The 13,330-nt window shown below is 43.9% G+C and overlaps 1 protein-coding gene across 17 annotated transcripts in view, besides 2 other annotated features; it reads right to left on the reverse strand.

Moving 5' to 3' along the window:
• Positions 1-13,330, reverse strand: part of KIRREL3 (kirre like nephrin family adhesion molecule 3) — a 580,037-nt gene that overhangs the window by 390,551 nt on the left and 176,156 nt on the right. The window lies entirely within an intron of this gene.
• Positions 9,496-9,997: an enhancer, noted in NCBI's record as "H3K4me1 hESC enhancer chr11:126693299-126693800 (GRCh37/hg19 assembly coordinates)". NCBI's record gives its function as "activates a minimal SCP1, AML or CMV promoter by ChIP-STARR-seq in naive H9 embryonic stem cells {active_cell/tissue: H9 hESC(naive)}" and the evidence as "EXISTENCE:reporter gene assay evidence [ECO:0000049][PMID:30033119]".
• Positions 9,998-10,497: an enhancer, noted in NCBI's record as "H3K4me1 hESC enhancer chr11:126693801-126694300 (GRCh37/hg19 assembly coordinates)". NCBI's record gives its function as "activates a minimal SCP1, AML or CMV promoter by ChIP-STARR-seq in naive H9 embryonic stem cells {active_cell/tissue: H9 hESC(naive)}" and the evidence as "EXISTENCE:reporter gene assay evidence [ECO:0000049][PMID:30033119]".

Genomic DNA, 13,330 nt, shown 5'->3' on the forward strand with positions numbered 1-13,330 from the left:
AAATGGGGTCTAATTAAACTCAAGAGCTTCTGTACAGCGAAAGAAACTATCATCAGAGTAAACAGACAACCTGCAGAATGGGAGAAAATTTTTGCAGTCTATTCAACTGACAAAGGTCTAATATCCAGAGTCTACAAGGAACTTAAATTTACAAGAAAAAAAAACCCGGTTAAAAAGTTGGCAAAGGACATGAACAGACACTTCTCAAAAGAAGACATACATGTGGCCAACAAATATATGAAAAAAAGCTTAACATCACTGATCATTAGATAAATGCAAATAAAAACCACAATGACATACCATCTCATGCCAGGCAGAATGGCTTTTTTTTTAAAATTAAAAAGTCAAAAAGCAACAGATGCTGGCGAGGTTATGGAGAAAAAGGAATGCTTTTACACTGTTGGTGGGAGTGTAAATTAGTTCAACCATTGTGTAAATTAGTTCAACCATTGTGGTCTCAAAGACCTACAGTCAGAAACACCATTTGACCCAGCAATCCCATTACTGGATATATACCCAAAGGAATATAAATCATTGTATTATAAAGATACATGCACTACATATGTTCATTGCAGCATTATTCACAATAGCAAAGACATGGAATCTACCTAAATGCCCATCAATGATAGACTGGATAAAGAAAATGTGATACATATACACCATGGAATACTATGCAGCCATAAAAAGGAATGAGATCATGTCCTTTGCAGGGACATGGATGGAGCTGGAAGCCATTATCCTCAGTAAACTAACACAGGAACAGAAAACCAAACACTGCATGTTCTCACTTCTAAGTAGGAGCTGAACAGTGAGAACACGTGGACACAGGGAGGGGAACAACACACACTGGGACCTGATGGGGGTGTGGGTTGGGGGAGGGAGAGCACTAGGAAGAATAGCTAATGGATGCTGGGCTTAATACCTGGGTGATGGTGGTGGGTTCATCGGTGCAGCGAACCACCATGGCACACGTATCTATGTAACAAACCTGCACATCCTGCCCATGTACCCCAGAACTTAAAAGTTGAGAGAAAAGAAGAAAGTAAAAGAAATAAAAAGGTGGATTCCTTTAGGTCACCTTCTTGCAGTTGTACCCTAAATTTAGAGGATTCATCATTGACATGCAGAACACCTAAACCTGTTGATCCATTCTTTTGGGTGTAAAGCTTTAAAAAAAAGAAAGTCTCTTACGGTGTTGGCTTATTTAAAAACAGATGACAAAAGACACCTGGCTTGCAGTTTTGTCTTTATTCTCCAGGACCATGAGGAGCAATTAGCTTTTACAAGTTCATTTCCATAACAACCTTTAGCACACGATATTTCTGGATTGAGTTAAGGATGGGGGCATCAAGAGATGACTTGGCTCTACTCAAGATTCCACGTGGAAGGAAGGGGCAAGCCTAGTGAATGAGTCACACCCTGATTCTGTTCTTAGCTCTCACTTCTCCCACTGTGTGACCTGAGGCACACAACTGACTTCTCTAAACCCTCATCTTATTTCTCTGTAACACGGGGAAGGATAGCCGCTATTTTGTGAGGTTGTGGAGGGGATGAATGGGACAAATTTTGAAAGCACACAGTATCTGGCATGTAGTAGCATTTCATAAATGTGAGCTATTATAATTTTATTTATTTATTTTTTTGAGGCGGAGTCTCCCTCTGTCGCCCAGGCTGGAGTGCAGTGGCGCGATCTCGGCTCACTGCAAGCTCCGCCTCCCACGTTCACGCCATTCTCCTGCCTCAGCCTCCCGAGTAGCTGGGACTACAGGCAGCCGCCACCACGCCCGGCTAATTTTTTGTATGTTTTTAGTAGAGACGGGGTTTCACTGTGTTAGTCAGGACGGTCTCGATCTCCTGACCTCGTGATCTGCCCACCTCGGCCTCCCAAAGTGCTGGGATTACAGGCATGAGCTGCTGTGCCCGGCCGAGCTATTATTTTTATCATGAGGTATATTCCTTGTTCTCTTTTCCCTTTGAGGCAGCTCTTGTTGACTCTTAATAAGCAAAAACCACACGACGACAGTTTTAACTGGCTTACGTAAAGTTCTTACAGATCCAGAGCTGAGTTCATCCACTACAGATGAAGAGGAATTAGTGTGTCTTTTGAATATTAATGAATAAATAACCTCTTTCCTTGTTATTTATTTGTATTCAAAATGCCATTGCTAGTTCTAGTGATAATTATTGAATTTTCAACATTTATAGAAAAACAGCATATACTGTATAAAGATAATTGCCGTATTGGAGTCTTAAGAAAGAGTTAGTTTTGTATAAATATGGAATGCCAGTAATTATCACTAGTGCTACATGTTAAAATTAGAAAGTAGGTAAATAACAAGGACAGTATGTATTCTTTATAATTCAAATGCATGTCAGCTCAATTATCCTACAATTGCATAGACAATAGGTGAACTGTTTTTCTCCTTTAAGGGGAAGACTTCTTTCCGAGTTTACGTTTCCTGAAGTTGAGTGAAGATTCCATGGTTTGACAAGCCAATAGTATGATAATGGGCAATATTATTTAGGAGTGGGCTGATGGCAGGTTTGATCTCTCTGTGCTTGGATTCACTGCCTCAATTCTGAATTATGTTACAACTGCTTAGAATTTTAAAGTTAGAGACCCGCTGTGGAGAAATAAAGTCCTGGCTATGTTTCCATTTTATAATCTCTCAGGCTGAATTTTGAGGCCAGACCTGAGTACAAATCTGTAACCCAGGAATCTCCCACGTGCTCACAAAGTTCCAAGGATACTATTTAATCTCCTCCTTTTCACCAACCCCATCTGCACCCCAGCAGGGAGGTCAGTGGCTACATGAAAGCAAAATCTAAGGCTCTTCTTTGCGCCAAAGCCTGGTCTCCATGTTGTTACAGACCAAAGCCACTCTGAAAGCCGCAGGAGGCTGACCACAATCAATAATCGTTCAGGAAACAAACGCAGGGAAGAGAAATAAGTGACTTATTGAAAAGGCACCCGGAAATGGCATTAGCACAGCACTGCTTCTAATCATAGACTCAGCACCTCAGAGGAACAGCTGAGCAGAGCCTTGTTAAACAAATGTAGATATCATGGGTGTTTAAAGGAAACACGTTACTTTAGGGAAGGAAGAACCTGTTGCATTAAAAATAGAGCTAAGGTAAAGAGCATGTACTTGTAGGCTTGCAGGGAGAAAAATAACAAATGAGGAAAGCCAACACTATTAAAATTAATAGGAAAGATAGAAAAATTAAGCAGCTGGACCATGGATAAACAGCAAAAAAGCCAAGTGTATAAAACAGCTCATCTAAGACCAGAGGAGGCAGAGGGGATAAACAGCTCACCCTGTTGAGGATGTTTACTTTTGCATCTGTCAACTGAAAAGGAAGGAAATGAGGATTTGCCTGAGTCAGAATGAGTTTCCAAGGAAAGAGGATGCAGTGTACCACAGAAAATGGTGGTGATGATGACAGCCAGTCAACAGAAGCTGATGGTGACTTAGCTGGCATGCTGGCCATGGGATGCGAGTGACTGAGGGCTTCAGCTTCCTCATTGTGGGGGACAGAAGGGGATGGTTTAGCAATATCCTCAGGCTTCTACCTTCCCATTTCTCCCACCAATCAGGCATTAGCATCCCCAGTCCTCTGGTGTCCTATGGTTGGAACCCCTGCTCGGTACTCCCTGTCCCATGCCCAGAAGGGGATGCCTTGCTTTCTCATCCTTCCAGCCTATGTGGCTGCAAAATGACACTTGTAAAATGACATGCAGAAGAGCAATGAGACCAATGCCAGATCCCAGAGGGGTCAGGGAGCTCCACCGAGCTTCCCTAACTTGTTCACATCCTGTCACGCTAGCTAATGATAGCATTTGTAGGGCAGCTGGAATAAACATGTGATGGACCCATATCTAGAGGTGACTCTGGCACTCTGGCTGTCCCAACCCCACCCTGATCTGAAGGCTGAGGGGGTCATTATGTGGACCCACTACAACCCACGGGTGGGAAGCTCTAGATCTTGGCACCCCGTCCTCTTGGCTCTGGCTGAGCCACTCAGCTCTTGAATCAGAGGCTTCAGCAGGAGGAGAGGCTCAAATGAGCCCAAGCTGATTAAGGAAGTGGCCATGCTCCACAGAAGGACAGATCAATCTTGATTAGAGTATTAGGAACGTTTCGAGGATGCCTCGACTTAGCAGACAACTGGCATGGTGGCTGTATCAGGGGGGCAAGAGCATCTGTCAAAGATCAGGTTGTAAGGTGAGTCTAAGTGTCTAGGGCCATGGACACTGCACAGCCAGGACAGAAGCCAGCTGCGTGCCAGACGAAGTGTTTTCACAGCTGGGGAAAGGAAAGGCACAGATTATAGGACAGCTGTTTGCAATTGCTTCTGGCCCATCAATAAGGCAAACAGTGACTTAGGAATGGGAAGAGTGAAGAAAGTAAGTGATTTTAGGGAGGCAGTGTGGCAGAATAGAAGAGGCTCAATAGGCTTTCACATAATGCAGAAGGAACTTGAATCCTGCCTCTGCCATTTACTAGTTGTGTGGCTTTAGGCACCTTCCGTAACCTCTCTGAGCCTATTTCCTCACTACTTATGATAACATCTCTTTTACGGAGTTGTTGCATATATTAAATAAAAACATGTCTATACCTAGAATACTATAGAGTTTCAATAAAATATTAACCATTCCTCTTTACTATGTATGCTGTTTAAAGCAGAAATTGTGTAGTAGTAGTAGTAGTAGTAGTGTGTGTGTGTGTGTGTGTGTGTGTGTGTGTTGGGAAGAGGGAACATTAGACTTATCTGAAAGTTTAGAAAATACTACAGAAAGACACATCCTTATTGATTGACAGATATTCTCCTGCAAACACTCTGTCTTCTCCCCATTGTGTAGACTCTGGAAAGTTATTGTAATTGTTGATTTCAGGTCAGCCTCTACTCTACCTGCAGCTTGGTCTCTGGTTTTCAAATTCTGTAGAAATTTTTACAGCTGTTTGACTTCCTTAGACATGAGACATGTACTAGATGGCAATAGCAGGGGACGTATCCCCTACACTCCTGTCCTGGTCCAATGCCTAACCCATGGGGAACACTCAATACATTTATTTGAACTGAAATGAACCTGGTTGGTGGGCGAGGCCGCTAGGGGTAGAGGCAGTTGGGGAGGAAGGTGGCAGCCATGTGCATGTTGGAGATATGTGAGTAGCTTTAGGTATCTGGACCCCAACCAGCCCAGTGAAGAGGGTAGAGATGCAAGACTTGTAGATATGACATCAGAGGGTGGCAAATAATCTGGGTCCCTAGCATGCTGGGCAGCCTGAGGCGACGGTCCGGTCAGCCAGGCTCAGCCAAGCCCCTGAGAGCATCTCGCAGGAGGTACCGTTCTGTCCCCAGCTGAGAGGCACTAAGGCTTTCCCAGCAGAGGTTCAGCCCTACCAGAGCCGCTCAGGGGAATGTGCAGAAGGAGGACAAGGGAAGCAACTACCTGACATCACTCTGCCCTGCTTGTCAAGACAAAACAACATGAATATTAATTTCTCAGGCATAATAAGGTGTGGAGGAGCAGGAGTGGGCAGGGCCATTGTGTGGGAGGCTGCTCCTTCCTGCCATTTGTCACCGGCAGGAGTGATAGATGGTTCTTCCAGGCAGCTTCCCAATTAGATGGATACAGCCACCCCAATTAAGAGCACGTTGGCCATCTGCTTCGCAGGTACGATGGCATTAGGTGCTTTGGGCGGGGCTCAGGCCAGACTTTGCAAGACACTAGAGGAGGCAGGAACGCTCACATACACATCGGTGAGCAGAGGCCACAGGCATCACTGAGGCCAATGCCTAGGCCTGTCAAGAGGATTGTACCTGCAGATAATCTGCCAATGTACTTATAGCCTTTTGCCAGACTCACTACCAATAACTAACAATTATCTGTAAGACAGTGGCTCTTGATTGGTGAGCATCAGAATTATCCAGGGAGAGTGTTTAAGAATACCACTCTCCCGACGCACCCCAAACATTCAGAGTTGGACTTTCCACACTTGATCAGGGTCCAGGACACCTGGGTTCCACTTGATTACGGCTAATTAGGTTATTTATTTAATGAACAGCTCATTAAGATAGTCATCTGAAATTTGAAGTGCTTTCAACAACTTTCATTCATTCTCTCATTCATTCATGTAAGATTTTTAGAGCACCTAACAGATGCTAGGCACTATTCTAAGTCCTGGGGGTACACCAATGAACAGAGCAGAAAAATCCCCCTGCCCCATTCATTTTGTTCATGTGAATACTTTCTTGGTGAGAGTGATTTCAGCTAGCACATAGTTTAGAGAGAATGCTGCAGAGGGAGGCAGATAGCTGAGTTTCAGGGTTAACCCGGAGTTGCAGAGTTGCGAGGCCTGCTCCTGAACTTTCTGAATGAAGCTTTGTAGCAAGCCTTTAAAAAAAAAGTAACCAAGAAGGTCTGAAGATAAAGCAAGCCAACCTTTTCCTGCAGGAAAAGATACACGCATAGAAGATCTGTGCAGCTAGAGCTAATGGCAGCTTCCATGATGATCCCAAGTGGAATAACTATATAAGGTGTGGATTCTGACCCAGAGGAGTTTATAATCTATCCTGGGGAAATGAATAAGACCCAAGAACAGAGAAGAATACAAACACACGATAAGAGGTAAAAAATTTTGTTGAAGGAGGGAGCAGAAAAACTTAAAGCAGCTGGGGCAGACTTCATAGCAGGCAAGTTGTAGGGTGTTGATTCAGGCCTGGAAGGATGGATGGGAGGGTCTGGACAGGTGGGAGATGTGGTGGGAGATAGGACAAGGCACAAGCAGAGTCTCAGCGGGCACAGCAGCAGGCTGGAGGCAGGACACAGAGGCCAGAGCTGGAGTTGAGGCCAAACAGCCCTGGGTTTGAATCCTCCTTTTGTCACTCACTGGCCGTTATAGCTGTGGAGAGGATACTTATCCCCCTTTTCCAGGTGTGGAAACTATGGGTAAGAGACATTGACAGCTACCTTGAGTTTTCGTGAGGACTAAAGGTTTTATATCTCAAGGACCTGGCGTGCCCCCAAGGTGCTGGATGGGTGTGTTTCGAGCTTACTAGGTCTGAGATACCACGGGCACACAAAATGTTTTTAAAGAACTCCAAAACATTCCCTCTTTATCTCTCTTGGGACTGCAAAAGGTTGATGCACTGGAATGATTTGTGGCTTCACTATGAATGGAGTCCCCTTATCGCAGAGTTCATTATCAGAAGGCTTTAGTGGATATGAGAAATGTTGTTTCTTCAATTCTCAGGGACAGATAAGCAAGCAATCTCAGAGGGGTTTTCCTAGACAAGGCTTCTCTCCCTTTTGTTAGGGCTGAAGAAGCTGGCAGGGGGACACCCCCCAGCAGTGCTTCTCACCACTGTAAAGCTGATAGAATATTAGATTTTCATGGGTCAACGGATAAACACAGTATATATATATATATATATATATGTAACTTCCAACCAACATCCCTTCCTTTGGAAAGGGCTTACCTGGCCATTTTTGGATATTCTTGCTTTTTAACCTGGGACCTTGTAGTTTTCAGGAGAAGTGGCATTTGATATGTGTGACCTGGGCAAAAATTATTTAACTATTAGGGTCCCCAGCTCCCTCATTTATAAAAGGGGAGACATCATTATTCCCATCTTACAGGGTGAGGTAGGCAGAATAATGTACCCCCTCCTAAGACATCCATGAATGTGTGAATGTGAATGTGTTATGTTACATGGCAAATGGGAATTAAGTTGCAGATGAAATTGAGGTTGCTAATCAGCTGAAATTGAGATGAGGAGAGTATCCTGGGCCATCTCGGTGGCCCAATGTAATCACAGGAGTCCTTATAAGTGGAGGAGAGGGACAGCAGAGTTCAGGTCAGAATGACGCAGGGTGCAAAAGATCCCACCAGCCCTAGTTGGTTTGGAAGATGGAGTTAGGGGACATATGCCAAGGAATCCAGGCAGCCTCTGGAAGGTGGAAAAGGCATGGAAGCAAATTCTCCCTAGAGTTTCCAGAAGGAACACAGCCCTGCAGACACATTGATTTAATTCCAGTGAAATGCATTTTGGACTTCCGACCTCCAGAACTGTGAAGATAGTTAATTAGTGTTGTTGTGAGTCACCCCATTTGTGGTGAGTTGTTACAGCAACAATGGGAAGCAAATGCAGAGTTAATGAGAGAATGACATATTACAATGCTTTCTTGATCTGTAACCTTGGGCAAGCCCCTTGATGTCTCTGTCCCTCAGCTTTCATAAGTATAATATGGGAATGATAAGAATGGCTATCTTATGGAATTGCCTAGTACACATGAAGTGTTGGAATGCTGAGACATAGTAAGGGCCCTGGAAGTGTTGGCTAACGGTATTACTATTATATAATTACTATTATATAAAGCACATAGACTGGCCATGTAGTATGTTCTCAAACATAACTATGCTTATTATTTGTTGTATGGGAAGGAGAAGGAGCCTTGGTGAGTGCTCTAGAACTTCTAATTTCAGTAGCTCTGCTTACAATGTAGGCACATATCACAAATTTCAAGGGGCCCTGCCCTTTTAGGCTTTGCCCAGTTCCTGTTTTAATAGGAATTTATGTTTCCTTAAGAAAGGTGATCTGACCCTGGGGACTTTTTGCAACTCATATAGTATTGAGGTTTTCCTTTCACTGTTGTACAACAAACTACCCCAAAACTTAGTGGCTTTAAATAACCACTATTATAGCTCATAATTCATGGGTTAGAAATTCAGGCAGGGCTTGGTTGAGTGGCTCTTCTGCTCCATGTGGCATCCACTAAAGTCATTCAGAGTTACTCAGCTGGTCTGAGCAGGAGGGAGGATGAGGAAGCTGATGTCTGGGTTGGGCTGGCCGGAAGAGCCAGGGTCTGGCCAGTGTTGTTCTCTCTCCACGGCCTCTCCAAGTGGCTTGCTTGGACTTCTTCAGAACGGGGCTTCTAGTAAGTTTCCAGAGACTCACACCTGCACCAGGAAACTCACACAGTGTTATATCCACTGTATACTATAGGTCAAAGCAGTCAGGTATACCATATGGATTCAATGGGATCCAATGACCCCACCTCTTAAAGGGAGGAATGTCGAGGAATTTGTGAGTATCTCCAATCCACCACTCATCTTTAATACTCGCTGGAGTATTTAATACTCACTGGAGAGAACTCAGGGAGTGAGAAACAGATGAGATGTGAGAGACTAAACGGTCCATCTGAGGCAACTCAGCAAATCCAGAGTCCATGGGCCTGCCTCACACTAACCATTCTGGATTCTACTAACATTGATTATCTACCATTTAGAAGGACTGGTGCTAGGTACTTTCATATACTTGATGTCTTTTGCTGCTTTGAAATGAAAGCATTATACTTCAGCTAAGGGATAAACCAAAGCCTGGAGGACAAGTGGGGGTGCAATTGAAAGTTGCTCATCTAACCTCCAGGGCCTTTGCTTTTCATTACAGGCTCATATAACCTGGTCTTTATGCCTCCATTTTTTCTGACTCTAGGCAGGCAGAATGGCCTCAGCAGGAATGCAGCTATGTTAGACATCTGTGTCCTGGGAGACCCTGGGGCACTTTGAATCCTGGTCAGAATGGACCCTAAATGAGCTCATGTTTCTAAAGTGCTCTGAGCTCCTCAGAGAGCAGAATCCATTTAACTCCAGAGCCTGGATGGTCTCATTGGTGGGTCCCTGCAGTGGGGGACATGGTTTGTCACTGCTAGCACCAGGCTGGGACCTTGGATAAATAGGGAGAAATCAGTCTCCAGGCTTCTCTATCTGCCATCTTTTCAGCCACAATAAATTAATCTTCAGAAAGATAGAAAACAACAAAAGAAGGGAGAGGGGAAAAGAAACAACGACCTATCTGACAAGTCTGAAAGGAAAACAAGCTTTCTGCTGCTACAGTGCCCCAGGTGAAGTAGGGGGCTCAAGCTGGCAGGTGGGTCTGAAGGAGCAGACGAGGCACCCTGGTGCTAAGCACACTCCGGGAGGCCGGGGCAGGTGGGCAGGGACCAGGTGAAGAGCCAGGGGGTATCTTGCTGGAGCTACCTGTAGATTGTTCTGGATTTGTTAGCATCTCTCAAAATAAGATCAACTTGATGCTGATTAAAGCTGAAACACCCCACAAGCCTAGCATGCTGAGTGTCTGACTCTAGGGCCCCTGAACAAATTGTTTTCCCTTTTCATGATGATCTTTGTGAACTCTTTGGTTCAGCGTGGCTCGCCCATGGGGACAGGGCTGGAAATGGAAGCACAGGTTTCCTCTTGGCACCTAGCTGTCAGAACTGTCCCCAGGCATCCCAGCAGGAGGGAGACAAACAAGCATTCTCATCCGGCAAGCTGATGTCTGCATATGCAAATGGACTGAAGGACCCTCAGCCTTGAATCCTATTCAGAAACAGTCTACAGAGTGCCTACCTGTGCCAGGTGCATTCACAGAAATGATTTCATTTCATACAACAGCTCTGTGAAGCAGCTAGGTATTATTTACCTAAGATTTGTTATAAGGACGCTCAAGTTCAGGGAGGGTAAACAACTCACCCAACGTCACACATCTAGCTGTGGCTGAGACAGGTCTCAATCGATCCAGAAAGTTTATTTAAGGATGCATGCCCAGGAAGTAGGTCTGTGCCTTTTTCCAAAGATGATTTTGAGGGCTTCAATATTTAATGGGGAAAGGGACGATGTTAGGAAAAGAGGAAGAAATTTTTAAAAGGTGTGGGTAAATCAGAGACAAATGGTTGCATTATTTTGAGTCTTTGATCAGCCTTTCACTGAATACACAATTATATGTGAGAGAGGGTAGAAGAATAACCATTTATGCCTTGGTCTGGCTCAGTAAATCTGCATTTTTACCTGAGAGGAAGCAATCAGATATGCATTTGTCTCAGGTGAGCAGAAGGATGACTTAGAGTTCTGTCTTTTGTCCCGCACCTGTGAAGACAAGCTATTGATTTACACTGTCGGAGGTAAAATTCAACAGAACCATTTTAGGGTAAAGATCTTGAGGCCCACAAGGAATTTCCTCTCCTAGTGGACAAATTGTGAGGGACGTATGTAGCCTTTTTAATCTTTGTAGTTATCTTATTTAGGAATAAAATGGGAGACAATTTGACTGATGCAGTTCCCAGTTTGAATTTTCCCTTTGGCTTAGTGATTTGGGGGTCCTGAGATTTATTTTCCTTTCATAGTGATTTCCAATGATAAATATGGGCTCCTGACCCAGTCTAGGGTACTTTCCACCAACCAGTAGCTACAGGTAATGTGGCTGTATGTAGACCAATCAAAACGAAGCGCTTGGGCATAAAATGCCTCTTGAAATTATGCTTCATGTCTGTGCACTTGACCTAGGACAGGAATTTTAAACTTTGACAGCCTGGTGACGCTATGACCCCCTTCTCAGAATAATGTTTTAAAATATGAATATAAAACAAAATACCTAGGATTACAAAAGCCAGTTATTACATTGAAATACAATTATAAAAATATTAAAAAACAAATTTGTGGTATGGTAATGTGCCTTCTTCTTTATTAATACAGTGAATAATGAGATCTAGCAAAGGTTTAATAATGACTGTAATTTCAAGTAGTGATGAGCATAAATAACATTTTGAGATTTCTGCAAAAACATTAACATGATCTGAATATACCTGAGATTTTAAATGGTGATAAAAATCACAGGCTACTGCTGTTACCACTGGGTTTGTTGTCTATACTTACAAGGAAAGGGAATACTACATTCCTGTTAGAAGTTACTGAAAATAAAATGCGATCTTTTTCCACCATCCAGGTTCATTGGTCCCTTTGATTCCCTTGGGTCAAGCACTTTATGTATTTTTACACATTTAATCCCCACAGCAACCCAGTGAGGTAGGTACTTCCACTATCCTCGTTTCACAGATAAAAAAACTGGGGCACAGAGGGATTAAGTAACTTGCCCAAGGTCACACAAGGCCGCCGAGTTGATACGTTAATCAGGTTGTCCTTTTCTCTCCAAGGGGGGATTCTGCAACCCTCTTGAGGAATAATCATATCAAGGAGAATCTTCCTTTTGGATTTTTCCCAGTTGGGTTCAGCCTTTTCTAGTCACTCCCCTTCCTGCAGAATTTGTCGAGTGCCGGTCCTTCCTCTCAGCCTGGTTAGCTCCTAGTCACTCATCAGATGCCCCCTTTCCAAAGAAGGCTTGAATAGTTCCCCACCCCATTACGCTTGCCCCCAGCTCTTGGATGTCTTCCCCATGGTATTTGTGAAACCTCTGTCTGTGTGGTCATTAAGTTAACACCTGCTTTTCTTGCTAGATAGTGCACACATGGGACAGAATTCTGCCTTGTTTTGATGATCTCTATATCCCTAACACCTAACTGTCTGTCCGGAAAAATTTAGATGCTCGGTAACTGCTTGCAGATTGAATGAATGGAGAATAAATGAATTACTAGTCACAGATGTAAAACTGATTTCCTCATCATGATTACTGACTTCCTTGATTTCCCATATGACCATGCAGCCAATCATCAGCTATTTTTTTTATTGCTGTTTATTAAGTGGGTCCCTTTGTCTCTCTGGCCTTCAGAGCATCATTCTTTCTCTCCTGTGAACCTTCTCCAATTTTTTAAAACATTATTTCTGCTTTCGACTTCCTCTCGGCCTGCTTTGATCTTCCACGTTCTGCGTGGAAGTTATTTCTGCTTTGAACTTTCACGGCTAAGAAGTTTTGGGAAATACGTGTTGGAGGTGTTGGGAGGTATGACTCCACACAGAAGCTGGCTCTCCTTCAAAGTTCTGTGTTCTGGTCTGCAGCAAGGTAGAAGCCTATGGGGTTTCAACCTGACAGCACCATTTCTACTCACCTCTAAGAATGTAGCTGTGAGACAGGATTCAAATGTTTAGACTGGCAACAAATGAGTATCTATCACGATGCTTAAAGTGCTCTCCCCCAAAACAAATGTTGTCATTAGGACATTTAATTTCTGACTCTAGAGTCTCTCCTGCAGAGGGAAGACTTTCTTCCTCAGCTTCTTTGCTGCAGTGTTGAAAATGAGGCAGAGTAGCAGAGGTCATCCCCCTCCCTTTTCAGGCTGCTGGGATTATGGTGGGCAGAGGGCTTTCCTTGTTCTGCTTTTGGGGTGCTCCCCACCCAAGCTGCCTTTAATTTTGTCTGTATTTTCCTGTTTTACTGCTTGGTATTTGGATAAGCTATAGAGAGGAACAAAATGACATTCACCCCTCAGAGCCCCCAAATGTTAAGAATCAATATGGAAGTCTTCCCAGATTCAGATTTTTTTTTTTTCTTGAGATGGAGTCTCGCTCTGTTGCCCAGGCTGGAGTGCAGTGGC

The sequence above is a fragment of the Homo sapiens genome, chromosome 11 (genome assembly GCF_000001405.40).
Source record: "Homo sapiens chromosome 11, GRCh38.p14 Primary Assembly".
Taxonomy (NCBI): domain Eukaryota; kingdom Metazoa; phylum Chordata; class Mammalia; order Primates; family Hominidae; genus Homo; species Homo sapiens.